Source organism: Homo sapiens, chromosome 4 (assembly GCF_000001405.40).
Source record: "Homo sapiens chromosome 4, GRCh38.p14 Primary Assembly".
Taxonomy (NCBI): domain Eukaryota; kingdom Metazoa; phylum Chordata; class Mammalia; order Primates; family Hominidae; genus Homo; species Homo sapiens.
Window position 1 is genome coordinate 100,547,761 of NC_000004.12, and position 16,844 is coordinate 100,564,604.

Genomic DNA, 16,844 nt, shown 5'->3' on the forward strand with positions numbered 1-16,844 from the left:
ACATTCCTACCATTAGGTGGTTGGGAGCGTGTCACTTTATCTGAAAAAAGGAGTGAAACCTTGCTACTGCCTTGGATGATAGCTTATGGTGGAAGTTTTGCTATATGACTTCAGAGGCTAGATTATAAAAGGTGATGTGCTTCACCTAGTTCTGTGGGAATGTCTCTCTTTAGAGCCAGCTATTATGCAGTTTGAAAACCTGAGCCATTTTGTGCAGGGGTCCAACTGGATAGGAACCTACAGCCAACACCAACTTGCAAGATGTGAGTGCACTATCCTAGAAGTGGATCCTTTAGCCCCATCTGAACTGCCTTAGCTGATACCAAGTGAAGCAGAGACAAGTTTTCCCCACTGAGCTTTATCCAGATTGCAGATTCATGAGCAAAATAAATGATTGTTGTTGTATCAAGCTACTTATTTATGGGGTGATTTTTTTTATACAGCATCAGTAACCAGGACAGATTTTGGTTGTTTCATAACAAAAATTGGCTTTGTGACTAAATGATGAGAAAAAGACAATGTTAGTGAAATTCCAAGGCCTTCAAGCAGCAGCCTAAGAAAACCTAGAAGGCTGCCAATGAAGCCTCTAATGTAATGAAATTGGAACCTGCAGCAAAGGGAACTTTTGTAACTGTGAGATGTGTGACCACACTGGCATCTGAGGTAATGAGAAAAACAGGAAATTTGTCAAATTTATCAAACTACTAAATGAACTCCATATCAGTTCATCAAGAGTCAGCAAGCTTTTTCTTGACGGGCTGGATAGTACATATTTTGAGCTTGGAGATCACAGGGCTTCTGTTACAACTTCTGAACTATGCCACTGTAGTGTGAAAAAGCTATAGAAAATAAATAAATTGGCATGAATATGTTATAATAAAACTTTTTTACAAGAATGGATACAACTATGGTTTAGATATGACTTGTTTGTCCCTGGGAAAACTCATGTTGAAATTTTATGCCCAGTGTGGCAGTATTGGGAGGTGGATCCTAGTAAGGGGTGTTTGTGTTATGGGGGCAGATCCCTTATGAGTAAATAGCTGGGTGCTGTTCTCTTGGTAGCTAGTAAGTTCTTGCTCTTGGGAATGGGTTGTTGTAAAGCCAGGATACCCCTCAGGTTTTCTCCTTTTTGCATGATTCCACTTCCCCTTTGATCTTACCCACCCTATTGTGACACAGCACAAAAGCCCTCGCCAAAAGCCAAAGCCATGCCCTTGAACTTCTCAGCCTGTAGAACTACGAAATAAATAAACCTCTTTTCCTTATAAATTACCCAGTCTTAGGTATTCTTTCATAGCAACACAAAACAAACTCTGACAGACACTGTCCCACAGAGCATGGTCTGCTGATTCACCATATAGCTAAAGAGATTTCCAGGCGGAATATTGAAAGGGCCACTTGATATATTCTTGTCGTTGATGATAAAACTCAAAAAGAGAGAGAGGAATCAAAGATGAAATGTATAGGAACCAAGACTTGCTAGATTTGGAAAGAAAACTGTTCCTTATTCCCTGTCTCTCCAGATGGCAGAAGATTCTCAAAGTAACAAAATTTTTAGGGAAAAGATCAAATCCAGTGCAGTAATTTAAGAGCTATTGTTAAGATCTCAGGAAGATGACAGTTTATAGAAACTTTCTCTTTTTTTGTTTTTGTTTGTTTATTTTTTCAATAGTGTCTCACTCTGTCACCCAGGCTGGAGTGCAGTGGCATGAATATGACTCACTGTGATTTCCTGAGATGAAGTGATCTTGCCACTTCAGCTTCCTGAGTAGCTGGGACTACAGGTGCACACTACCATGCCTGGTTAATATTTTATTTTTATTTTTATTTTTATTTTTTTGTGGAGATGGAATCTCACTATGTTGTCCAGGCTGGTCTTGAACTCCTGGGCTCAAGCAATTCTCCCACCTCAGCCTCTCAAAGTTCTGGGATTACAAGCATGAGCCACCACACCTGGCCCATAGAATCTTCCAAAAAAAAAAAGGTATGAATTCATGAGCTACAGAGTATTATTTTAAGGAAGCAGTACTTGACCCTGATCAAGAAAGTGACAACATGTACTGAGATGGTTTTCAGAATTGATATTGACCACTGACTGATGTCTGTGACCTATTCCCTGCTTCCCTCCTTTTGAATCTGTCCAAAGCAGTTAATTATGTCTTTTTCACTAGCACTTGCTGGATATGTGCGGGGAGGGGGGGCGTATACCTTGTTTCTTTAGTTCATATAGCTTTATATTGAAAGGAACCATGTTAAGAATATAAAACAATCCATCTTGTCTGCATTGGTATCTGGTTTAGATGACAAGATCCTGGACTTCAAAATTCAGACTGATGAGGTAATGGATGAGACATTTGAGGGTTTTAGAAGGAGGTAAGTGTATTTTAGATGGAAAAAGAATATAAGTAATATATGGCCAGAGGGTGAACTGTGGCACTTTTAAAACACAGCCCCCAAATTATTCTACACTTGTTCCATTAAGGTACAGGTTCTACAGCCCATTCCAAAATCTTTGTAATTGCTTTACTAATCCATTACAGCAGAAGAAATATTGAGCCAGTTCCTGAGCCTGGACTTAATAGCCTGCAGCTTCCACTTCTATTTTCTCTTTCAATGCTTACCCTTAGAACCCAACTACTCTGCTGCAAGGAACCAAGCACCCATGTGGACTGGCCATGTATGATGTGTTATGGACCATAGCCTCTGATGAGGTTCCCGTCTCTATCCAGAAACAATTTCCAGACGTGTAAATAAGCAATACCCCCAGGCATTGAGTTATCTTCTATTAATGCTTTCATGTTATCTGAGCCATTGCTGCATTAAGCAGATACATGCTGCACCCTTGGAGCCTTGCCCAAATTGCAAATTTGTGAGCAAAATAAATGATTGTTTTTGTTTTCAGTCATTAAGTTTGAGATGGTTCATCACTTAGGGATAGACAACTGGAACAAAGTTTTTTGCTCATTTTTAAATTTTTTTTAAATAGTTTGTAGAAGTCTTCTCTATATTCAAGATACAAGACTTTGTCAGATATAGGCACTGAAAATATTTCTTACCAGTCTATGACTTGCCTTTTCCTGTACTTAATGATTAGTTTTCTCTAGCAGGAGTTTTAGTTTTGATGTAATATGACTTACTTTTTTTCTTTTATGGTTACTGATTTCTGTTCCATTTTTGAATGACACTGCACCTACTCGAAGTTGATGAAGCATTTTTATGTTTTTTTTCAAGAGGTTTAGAAATTTTTGCTTTTAAATTTAGGTCTGTAATCAATCTGAATTTTTTTTTCAGTATGGTGTACAATAAGTGTTGAAATCTGTATTTTTCTATATGTTAGCTAGACATTCCAGCATGCTTTGTTGAAAATACGATTTTTCCCCAATTGAATTGTTTTGCTACCTTTGCTAAAAAATTCTGGCCAGGAGCGGTGGCTCATGCCTGTAATCCCAGCACTTTGGGAGGCCGAGGCGGGCAGATCACCTGAGGTTGGGAGTTTGCGACCAGCCTGACCAACATGAAGAAACCCCGTCTCTACTAAAAAATACAAAATTAGCCTGGCGTGGTGGCATATGCCTGTAATCCCAGCTACTGGGAGGCTGAGGCAGGAGAATCACTTGAACCCGGGAGGCGGAGGTTGCCATGAGCAGAGACTGCGCCATTACACTCCAGCCTGGGCAACAAGAGTGAAACTCCGTTTTAAAAAAAAAAAAAAAAAACTTATAACTCTCCCTTCTGTTCCACTAATCACTTTGTCTGTTTTTCATGCTTGCATGATTAATACAGACTTACAGAAAGTATTGAAATCAGGTAGTGAAGTTCTTCCAATTTGGTCCTTAGTTTTAAAAATTGTTTTGCTTATTCAAGATCCTTTGCTTTTCCATACTAACTTAAAATCAACTGTTAAATTTTTACAAAACAGCCTATTAGAATATTGATTGGTGTTAAGTTAAATCTATAGATCAAGCATGGAACTCTTACCTTAATAATAGTTTTCCAATCTCCAACCATAGTTCCTCTCTCCATTTTTCTCCAGCTGAAAATCAACATTTTTCTCTTATTCTCAATCTTAGGGGAAACACATACATTAGTTTACTATTAAGTATAATTTGCTATAGGTTTCTTTTTGTAAATGCTTTCTGTCAGGTTGAGGAAATGTATTTTGGTTTCAGGTTTGATTAATGTGTGTTACTGCATTTATTGAGATATGTTTTCCTTTATTCTCTTAACATGGTAAATTACACTGGTGATTCATGCCTATTAAACAAACCTTGCATGCTGGGATAAACCCTACTTGCTCATAATAAATATTCCCATCTATATATTGCTGAATTATATTTACTACTGTTAAGAATTTTTGTCACTATGTGTATGAGGGGTAATGGACTCTATTTTTTTAATACCTCTAGCATCTTTGTCAAGTTTTGATAACAGGGCTAAGTAGGTCTCATAAAACAGTTTTGGATATGTTTCCCCTTCCTATGTTTTCCAAAAGAGTTTGTATACATTTGTTATTATTTCTTTCTTAAGTGTTTGGTAGAAAATACCAGTGAACCCATCTGAATCTAGATTTTATTTAGGGGAATATTATTTTTTATAATAAATAAAATTGATCTCTTTAATAGGTATATAAAACTCTTTACATTTTCTATTTCTTGTCAGTCTTGAAAGGTGCTTTTTGATGAATTTGTTCATCTATGTTGTTGAATTTCTTGACCTAAGATCTTCCTAACATTTTTTTGTTATCTACTTAGTATCTATAGGATCTGTAGGGATAAGCTGTCTTTCATTCCTACTACTGCTAATTTGTTGTGTGCACATTTCCCCTCTTGATTAATCCCACTAGTGTGTTTTCAAATTTATTTATCATTTCAAATAACTAATTTTAAACTTTGTTAACTTTATTTTTTCTTATTCATATTTCATTAATTCATTCTCTTTATTACTTTTTTCTCTTTCCTTTTGGTTTTATCCACTCTTTCTTTTCTCACTTCTTAAGATGAACACTCATTACACTGATTTTAAATCTTCCTTATTTTCTAAAACCACGTACTACATATTTTGATATATTGTATTTTATTATTATCCAATTCACAATATTATTACATCTTTTGTGATTTCTTCTTTCACTTATGGGTCATTTAGAAGTGTGTTACTTAATTTTGAAATAATCATGAGGGGTGTTAGATATAGTACTGAATTTTAATAATTTTATTACTTAATTTTAGTTTAATTTTTCCAAGAACATATTCTGAATGATTTTATTCTTTTAAAATTATTGATACTTACTTTATGGCCCAACATATGATTTAATTTGGTGATCAGTATATGTGTATTTAAACATAATGTGTGTTCTGCCATTTTGGGGCAAAGTATTGTTCTCTAAATGTCAAATAATTCAAGGTAATTGATAATGTGGTCATGTTTTCTGTGTCCTTCCTGATATATTAATATTTTCTTGTTCTAGTAATTGATGAGAATTATTAAAATCTTCATCTATGATTGTGGATCTATCTAAATTTCTCTTTAAGTTTTTGTGTGTATATAGGATTGTAATGTCTGCATGAATAATTGATCATTTTATTATTATGCAACATTCTTATTTATGGTAAACTTTTTCTCTTTAATTTATTTTGGCTAATATTTACATAGACTTTCCAGTTTTTGCATGTTTATGGATTGTATAGTATATCATTTTTCATCTTTTCATTTTTAGTATACTTGTATTTTAAATTTACAATGCATCTCTTCCATACATTTTACTTATTTTTTTTAATTTAACCATTCTTGAAAATTTTAGTAACTCAGTAAAACAAATACTGTTATACGTACTTTTATAAAGTGGGGAACTGATGTAAAGAAAATTTAAAAATCTGGCCTACTCCTCAAACTATGGTCTTCTAGCTTACAACATTGTATTATCTGAACAAGATAACATAAACCATTTGATTTATCAAAACTGAATTTGACCCAAAACAATAAATATAGCATAGGTTAGTTAAACGTGTCGTGATCTATTTGCCTGATATCTTCAGCTTCAGTTGCAAATCTTACTATAATCATAGGAAGATATAACAATTATATCTAACCTCAATCTATCTTCTGAGCTCCATTTTATATTTACAATAACTTTTTAGAAATTTTTGTTTAGATAAACTGTAGGCAACGCAAATAAATAATTCTATTTTTTCATCTCACTTTGTCCATAAGATCTGTCTTTTTTTATTCAGCATTTTGGTTAATTAAACCATTAAAACTTCACTGATCAAGTCATCTTTTACTTTTTGTTTCTTATTTATTACTCCTATCTAATAAGTCAACCAGTTTGCTTTTCTTTCCTTCTATTTAAGATAGTTCTTTAACACATTCCTGCTTCTCCAGTTAGACTTCATCTTCTCAGTTGTAAAGTATTGCAAGAGTGTCTTAATTGGTCTCCTACATCCAGCCGTTTTCTCCACCAAAATCACAGTGACAATCAGAATCATTCAACAATATTCAACCAAATCTGTAAATCTTTTTGTAGCTATGCCGAAAAAAGAGAAAAACAGTTCATGATTTCTACGCTTTATGGTTTGCAGGATAAAGGATCTCTATTTAACACATTTTCTTTATCCAGTCATCTGTTGACAGACATTTAGGTTGCTTCCAAATATTGGCTATTGTAAATAATGCTGCAACAAACATGAGAGTGCAGGTGTCTCTTCGATATACTGATTTTCTTTCGTTTGGGTATATACCCAATAATGAGATTGACGGATTGTATGGTAGCTCCATTTTTTGTTTTTTTGAGGAACCTCCAAACTGTTCTCCACAGTGGTTGTACTAATTTTATAGCAGAACAGGGTGACCATAGCCAATAACAACTTAATTGTACATTTAAAAATAACTAAAAGATTGTAAATAGTTGTTTGTAACACAAAGGATAAATGCTTGAGGGGATGAATACCTCATTCTCCATGACGTGATTATTTTACATTGCATGCCTCTACCAAAACATCTCATGTACCCAATATATATTATATGCCTATTTTATACCCACAAAAATTAAAAATGAAAAAAGTAAAGATCTCTAAATTTAGCAGATATCAATTCTCTTTGCAATGGCATTTATTACACTTTCATGCATTTACGCTTTCTACTAACTGAGGTATTTTCTCTCTACTCTCTGCTTGGCCATGACCTTCTATCTATCTCTCTGTCTTCCTGTCTGTCTATCTATCTATCTATTCTTTGAGTCTCAATATAAATGTGACTTTCTTGTCAAAACTTCCTTAACTCCTCAGCCCGAGGCAGTTAGATGCTCCCTCCTCACTACGATTGTTCTCTATCCTTACATGATAGATGCTTAAAAAATTTTTTATCGTTATTTTGTTCTATTTTAACATTGCAAACTGTGGCTTATGATATTGAATGTCAGATACATTAATAACTATCACCATAATAATATAAAACAAAATTTACTTTTTATATAGGTATTTATGTGATCTGCTGTATATTTACTGGTAGAAGGGTCAGGTGGGCCACACCATGCACTCGACTAATTTTATGGTTTCCACTGAATAAATAAATCTAGATTAATTTTTGGAGTGAATCTATGTCTATACCATCTGAAACAAATAATGTGCTAAAAAGCAGCAGTGTACAAGTTACCTCACAGCAATTTGTTTTAATCTCACCTATACACTGTAACATTTTTGATGTCTTCAACTATACTATGAATTATGTGAGAGAAGAAATCATCATTTTTTATTCATCTCTCTATTTTTCATATCACCTGGCACAGTTACTATCCCATAGTAGGCTCTCAGAAATGGTCTTATAAATAGAGATTTTCAAAATCCCATAACTATGGAAGCCAAGACTAAAACAGCTACATGCTATAAAACTATAAAAGGATAATGTGTTTCATTTAATAGTTTATTTTAGAGATGGGCCACTGAGTTCAGTAGACATGGTGGCATGAAGGGATTTGGTAAATACGAGAGTTCAATGCAAAGAACCTCATTAAATGTTTAATCAAAATTTCATGATTTGTGCAGGGAATTGAGAAAGTACCCTGAGAAGTCATAAAAATTAATTTGGAGGGGAATTAAAAAATAGAGACTCATAGTGCTGTGTAAGTGGTTTTGTGTGCTATAAAGCTCTCTAAATGTGTTTATGAGCTGAGCATCCTGTCCTGAGCTCATGAAATAGGAAACAAAACATCAGTCTTGGCATCTCCTGATATTTGAGATGCTTGGAATTATTATCTCATACTCTTGGCTGTCTCAAAGGAAACAAAACAGAAATGTATGTTTGGGTCAGGCTTTAATTTTCCAGACTGAAAAATTAAATCACTGTCTACCCAGACACAAGTCTTGTCTTATTTTTCTTTGATCAGAAGTTTGTTCTTCTGGGACTAGATGAAAGTAATGGGCAGTATGGGACGGTGCTATCTCAAGAGTATTTGAGCACTTGCTCCACATTTATCCTCTCCTTCTCTGTATCAGCTTAAGTTCATGGTAGAGATGATTGTTTAAATTTCTCTAACTTGGTTTCCTTATGTATTAATAGTGAGTAAAAAATAATGATGTATTAAGTGAGATATATAAATATAATGTCTGTGACTGCAAGTGAAAATTACAAAGTATACTGTGAAAAATCATAACGAACACAGAAGACTTACTCCAAAAAACTGGATACATGAATGTGAATGTAAAATAAATAGCAACATAATGTTAAAGCTTTAGTGTTTAAATGTTAAAAAGTCATATTTAAAATAAGTATTTGCATAACTGAAATGACTTATTGTACACAGTTTTGATAATATAATCATTTTCAAAAGTTGACATATAAATGCTAAAGAACCATTAGCAATAGACAAGTCTTTTAAAAATGGTTTAAAATTTGTTCTGTGATGACCAAAAGATTTTCCACCTTTTCAACTACAAAAATGTAGGGGAAGAGAAAATATATTTTAATATTTTGATTAGAGTTATGTTCAATGTAGTGCACATTACAAATCTGAGTTTATATCCAATGTACACTTCTCAATAAAAAAATAGATATTTCTACATATCAATCATTATATTCTATAGCTTTCATAGTAGCAAAAAAAGGAGATGATTATTTTTTCATTATTAGCAAAGGACACTGGGCTTTGGGTAATGGGGATCTAAATCAAGGTAATTGATAATAGTTGAGAGTAGCTGAAATTACACATAAGAAAAAATGCGCTTATAAGCAGTGTCCTTAGAACCCACTAACTATCCAGAAATAAAACAATTTACTGTGTTAATAAAAGAGAGAAATTCAAAAGGCTGCAGGAAACTGGAGACCAAGGGTAATTGAGAATCTTCTGAATTCTTCAGCAGCATCCAGGAAACATGTTCTAGAAAGTGTCCTCAGATTGAAGACCACTAATGTAAACATCAAGCTATAGAAGGAGAAAGTGAGATATTTTTATCCTAACTTTTCAATGCGCAGGCTGGAGTAAATAATAAAGGAGAAAAACTCAGAGGACTGAGAAAGCAGTCAAAATTGGAATTAAGAAGTTGTTCAGAAGAAGGCAGTCCAAAAGAGAAATAGAATATACACTGTTCCTTGACAGGATATCAGGTTGTTATACACATACTTTCAAATCCTTCTAAACAAACCCAGAAAATCTGGTCTATTTTCTCCATTTTACTGATGAAGATATTGAGATTCAGAGAGTTTTAGTAACTTCCCCAATGCTAGGTGACTAGTGAGTGGCAGAGTTAGAATTCAAGCCCACACATGTCTGGTTCCAAAGCACATTGCAGGTGTAAAGTGATTGTTTGTACAGTAAAAAATCTTGGTTCTTGCGAAAGAACCAATATTTCATAATCTATATAATAATCAGAAAAAAAAATCTGCTTTTATCCTGATATTAAAAAATTTGCTGTGGTGGCTGGTGATTCCCGTCCTAAAACATTCAGAGGGAGCCACCTAACATGGACTTTTATAATGTAGTTAACTTTACTATATTAAAGAGATAATGGAAAGAAAAATTACACAACTCAAACTCCTTGATCACTCCTTGCTTTCCCTGATATACAAAGCTTCATATAAATGAGAGTGCTTAAGAAATCAGAAGCATATTTAATGACTTCAAAATTAGGGCGGATAATAAAATACTTCTGGGATCATGGCAGCCAGAAGGCAGGACTAGATTGCAGCTCTGGACAAAGCAGCATGCAGAGGATTACGTTGTGAATTTTAGCTCCAGTAATCACAAGAGCACCCACAGACCCTCTGAAGGAAGCAGACTTCTCCTGCAGGACCTGGGAGACACCCCAAATACTGTGAGTGCCCCAACAAGTGCAGAAGTGGGAAAGGGAGACCCTCCTTTTCTGAACACACACCCCCACTGGAGAAGATGAAGGTCTGTTTGCAGGAGAAGTTTCTGACTTCACCTGGTGCTTAGTCAAATTAGAGAGCTCACCGAAATACAGGGGTAGAGGAAGCAGCAGAAAGGCCCCGGGAGCTCACTGGGTCTCCAAGCGCCCATTCCTGCCTGGCACCACAGGGATCCATCGGGAGGGCAGCCAGAGGAGCAGGGGGTAAAACTCCACAGGGAGAAGGAATTCTGTAGCTGAATTTTGTAACAATTTGAACAGGGGCAAGAAGCCTCCTAGCCAGAACTCAAGGGAGGACATGAATTAGGTGTGCAGACTTCACAGGCAGGGAAGAATTAAAGCTCTTTTTTCTTGCAACTGAGAGGCAGATAGCCTCGGGCAAATTTTCAAGCCCGTTTCACCCTCTACCTGGAAACAGGCTGTTGGTGGGGGGCACGGTGGGAGTGAGACCAGCTTTTCAGTTTGCATGGGAGCTGGGTGAGGCTGTGACTGCTGGCTTTCCCCAACTTCTCTGAAAACCTGCATGACTCAGCAGAGGCAGCCATAATTCTCCTAGGTACATAACTCCAGTGACCTGGGAATCTCAACCCATCACCCACAGTAGCCGCAGCAATACCAGCCCAAGGAGTGTCTGAGCTTAGACACACCTAGTCACACCCCCACCTTATGGTCCTTCCCTGTCCACCCTGGTAGTGGAAGAAAAAGGACATATAATCTTGGGACTTCTAGGGCCCTGCCCACTGCCAGTCTCTCTCCACACTACTACTACAGCTGATGCTTTCTGGAAAGCGCCGCCTCCTGCAGGAGGCCAACCAGCACAAAAATACAGCATTAAACCACCAAAGCTAAGGACCCTCATAGAGTCCATTACACCCTCTGCCACCTCCACTGGAACAGGCACTGGTATCCACGGCTGAGAGACTCATAGATGGTTCACATCACAAGACTCTGCGGAGACAACCCCCAGTACCAGCCCAGTGCTGGGTAGACTTGCTGAGTGGCTAGACCCAGAAGAGAGACAATAATCACTGCAGTTTGGCTCACAGGAAGCCACATCCATAGGAAAAGGGGGAGAGTACTATATCAAGGGAACACCCCATGAGACAAAAGAATTGGAACAACAGTCTTCACCTCTAGACCTTCCCTCTGACAGAGCCTACCCAAATGAGAAGGAACCAGAAAACCAACACTGGTAATATGAAAAAACAAGGCTCTTCAACACCCCCAAAAATTCACACTAGTTCACCGGCAATGGATCCAAATCAAGAAGAAATCTCTGATTTATCTGAAAAGGAATTCAGGAGGTTAGTTATTTAGCGAATCAGGGAGGGACCAGAGAAAGGTGAAGCTGAATGCAAGGAAATCCAAAAAGTGATACAAAAAGAGAAAATAAGAAATATTCATGGAAGTAGACAGCTTAAAGGGAAAACAATCAAAAATTCAGGAAACTTTGGACACACTTTTAGAAATGCAAAATGCTCTGGAAAGTCTCAGCAATAGAATTGAACAAGTAGAAAAAAGAAATTCAGAGCTTAAAAAACAAGGTTTTTGAATTAACCCAATCCAACAAAGACAAAGAAAAAAGAATAAGAAAATATGAACAAAGCCTCCAAGAAGTCTGGGATTATGTTAAATAACCAAGCCTAAGAATAATCAGTGTACCTGAGGCAGAGGAGAATTCTCAAAGCCTGGAAGATATATTTGGGGGAATAACCAAGGAAATCTTCCCCAGCCTTGTGAGAGACCTAGACAGTCAAATATAAGAAGCACAAAGAACACTTGGGAAATTAATCACAAAAAGGTCTTCACCTAGGGACATTGTCATCAGGTTATCCAAAGTCAAGATTAAGGAAAGGATCTTAGGAGCTGTGAGAGAGAAACACCAGGTGAACTATAAAGGAAAACCTATCAGATTAACAGCAGATTTCTCAGCAGAAACCCTACAAGCTAGAAGGGATTGGGAACCTATCTTCAGCCTCCTCAAACAAAACAATTATCAGCCAAGAATTTTGTCTCCAGTGAAACTAAACATCATATATGAAGGAAAGACACAGTTGTTTTCAGATAAACAAATGCTGAGAGAATTCGCCATTACCAAACCACCACTACAAGAACTGCTAAAAGGAGCTCTCTAAGTCTTGAAACAAATCCTGGTAACACATCAAAACAGAACCTCTTTAAAGCATAAATCACACAGGACATATAAAACAAAAATAAAAGTTTAGAAGCAAAACAAAAAGAAACCAAACAGGCAACAAACAGCATGATGAAAGCAACAGTACCTCACATTTCAATACTAACATTGAATGTAAATGGCCTAAATACTCCACTTAAAAGATATAGAACTACAGAATGGATAAAAACTCACCAACCAAGTATCTTCTGCCTTCAGGAGACTCACCTAGCACATAAAGACTCACAAGAACTTAAAGTAAAGGAGTGGAAAAAGGCATTTCAGGCAAATGGACATCAAAAACAAGCAGGGGTAGCTATTCTTATATTAGACAAAAGAAACTTTAAAGTAACAGTGGTTAAAAGAGACAAAGAGGGCCAGTATATAATGGTAAAGGGCCTTGTCCAACAAGAAAATATCACAATCCTAAACATATATGCACCTAACACTGGAGCTCCTAAATTTATAAAACATATTTACTAATAGGCCTAAGAAATGAGATAGACAGCAACACAATAATAGTGCGGGCCTTCAATACTCCACTGACAGCACTGGACAGGTCATCAAGATAGACAGTCAACAAAGAAACAATGGATTTAAACTATACCTTGGAACAAATGGACTTAACAGATATATGCAGAACGTTACATTCAACAACCACAGAATACACATTCTATTCAACAGCGCATAGAACTTTCTCCAAGAGAGACCATATGTAGGCCATAAAATGAGCCTCCATAAATTTAAGAAAATTGAAATTATTTCAAGCACTATCTCAGACCACAGTGGAATAAAACTGGAAATCAACTCCAAAAAGAACTTTCAAAACCACTCAAATACATGGAAATTAAATAAACAGCTCTTGAGTGAGCATTGGGTCAAGAACAAAATCAAGGTGGAAATTAAAAAATTCTTTGAACTGAATGACAATAATGACACAACCTATCAAAACATCTGGGATACAGCAAATGCCGTGCTAAGAGGAAATCTCATAGCCTCAAATGACTACATCGAAAAGTCTGAAAGAGAACAAACAGACAATCTAAGGTCACACCTCATGGAACTAGAGAAAAAAGAACAAACCAAACCGAAACCCAGCAGAAGAAAGGAAATAACCAAGATCACAGCAGAACTAAATGAAATTGAAATAACAACAACAACAACAACAAAAATATAATAGATAAATGAAACAAAAAGCTGGTTCTTTGAAAAGATAAATAAAATTGATAGACCATTAGCAAGACTAACCAAGAAAAGAAGAGAGAAAATCCAAATAACCTCACTAAGAAATAAAACACGAAATGTTACAACTGACACTAATGAAATACAAAAGATCATTCAAGGCTACTATGAACACCTTTTTCACATAAACTGGAAAACCTAGAAAAGATGGATAAGTTCCTGGAAAAATATAACCTTTCTAGCTTAAATCAGGAAGAATTAGATACCCTGAACAGACCAATAACAAGCAGCAAGATGTAAATAAATATTACCAACAAAAAAAGTCCAGTAACAGGCAGAATCACAGCAGAATCCTACCAGACATTCAAAGAAGAATTGGTACCAATCCTTTTAACACTATTTCAAAAGATAGAGAAAGAAGGAACCCTTCCTAACTCATTTTATGAATTTTACATCATTCTAATACAAAAACCAGGAAAGAACATAACAAAAAAAGAAAACCATAGACCGACATCCTTGATGGTAAAATCCTTAACAAAATACTAGCTAACCGAATCCAGCAACATATCAAAAAGATAATCCACCATGATCATTTAATACAAGGGATGCAGGGATAGTTTAACATATGCAAGTCAATAAATGTGATACACCACATAAACAGAATTAAAAACAAAATCACATGATCATCTCAATAGATGCAGAAAAAGCATCTGACAAAATCCAGCATCGCTTTATGATTAAAACTCTCAGCAAAAATCGGCATACAAGGGATATACCTTAATGTAATAAAAGCCATCTATGACAAACCCACAGCCAATGTAATACTGAATAGGGAAAAGTTGAAAGCATTCCCTCTAAGAACCGGAACAAGACAAGGATGCCCACTCTTACCACTCCTCTTCGACATAGACTGGAAGTCCTAGCCAAAGCAATCAAAAAGGAGAAAGAAATAAAGGGCATCTAAATCGGTAAGGAGGAAGTCAAACTATCACTGTTTGCTAACAATATGATTGTTTACCTTGAAAACCCTAAGGACTCCTCCAGAAAGCTCCTAGAACTGATAAAAGAATTCAGCAAAGTTTCCAGATTAATGTACACAAATCAGTAGTTCTTCTATACACCAGCAGCGACTAAACAAAGAATCAAATCAAGAACTCAACTCCTTTTACAATAGCTGCAAAAATAAAAATAAAAATAAAAATACTTAGGAATATACCTAACAAAGGAGTTGAAAGACCTCTGCAAGGAAAAGTAGAAAACACTGCTGAAAGAAATCATAGACAACACAAACAAATGGAAACACATCCCATGCTCATGGATGGGTAGAATCAATATTGTAAAAATAACCAACTGCCAAAAGCAATCTATAAATTCAACACAATCCCCATCAGAATACCATCACCATTCTTCATGGAATTAGAAAAAACAATTCTAAAATTCATATGAAACCAAAAAAAAGCCCACATAGCCAAATCAAGAACAAATCTGGAGGCATCACACGACCTAATTTCAAACTATACTATAAGGCCATAGTCACTGAAACAGCATGTTACTGGTATAAAAGTAGGCATGCAGACAATGGAACAAAATAGGGAACCCAGAAATAAACCCTAATACTTATAGCCAATGAATCTTCAACAAAGCAAACAAAAACATAAAATGGGGAGTGGACACCCTTTTCAACAAAAGGTGAATTGGCTAACCACATGTAGGAGAATGAACTGGATCCCCATCTCTCACCTTATACAAAAATAAACTCAAGATGGATTAAGGACTTAAACCTAAGACCTGAAACTATAAAAATTCTAGAAGATAACATTGGAAAAACCATTCTAGACATTGGCTTAGGCAAGAATTTCATGACCAAGAACCCAAAACCAAATGCAATTAAAAAAAATAAATAAATAGCTGGGATGTAAACTAAAGAGCTTTTGCATGGCAAAATGAACAGTCAGCAGAGTAAACAGACAACCCACAGAGTGGGAGAAAATCTTCACAATCTATACTTCTGACAAATGACTAATATCCAGAATCTCTACAATGAACTCAAACAAATCAGTAAGATAAAAAGACATAATCCTGTAAAAAAGTGGGCTAAGGACATGAATAGACAATTTTTAAAAGAAGATATACAAGTGGCCAACAAACATATGAAAAAATGCTCAACATCACTAATGACCAGGAAATGCAAATCAAATCAACAATGTGATACCACCTTACTCCTGCAAGAATGGCCATAATCAAAAAAATCAAAAACAGTACACATTGTCTTGGACACGGTGATCAGGGAACACTTCTACACTGCTGGTGGGAATGTGAACTAGTACAGCCACTATGGAAAACAGTGTGGAGATTCCTTAAAGAACTAAAAGTAGAACTACAGTTAGATCCAGCAACCTCACTACTGGGTATCTACCCAGAGGAAAATAAGTCATTATTCGAAAAAGATACTTGCACATGCATGTATATAGCAGCACAATTCACAATTGCAGAATCGTGGAACCAACCCAAATGCCCATCAATCAACGAGTAGATAAAGAAACTCTGAGTATATATGGTAGAATACTACACAGCCATAAAAAGGAATGAATTAACAGCATTTGCAGTGACCTGGATGAGATTGGAGAACATTATTCTAAGTGAAATAAGTCAGGAATGGAAAACCAAACATCATATGTTCTTACTGATATGTGGGAACTAACCTATGAGGACGCAAAGGCATAAGAATGATACAATGGACTTTGGGGACTCGGAGGAAAGAGTGGGAGGGGGGCAAGGGATAAAAGACTATAAATATGGTGCAGTGTATACATGGATGATGGGTGCACCAAAATCTCTATCAGCACTAAAGAACTTACTCATGTAACCAAATACCACCTGTACCCCAATAACTTATGGAAAAATAAAAAAATAAAAGATTTCTGAGCTAAGATTTTTAAAAATACCTTCTATTTGAAAGGGAAAAGAAGAAGAAATGATACATACGATGGATTATGTGGATGGTAGCAAAAAATACAGAAAGTGAGAGAACTACTTAGCTCACAAAATAGTAGTTTATGGTAGTAGAAATATGGGATTCTGCTGTAGCAGAGACTGCCCAGTATTTTCATTAATATCCAGGTTTTATTTGTCTT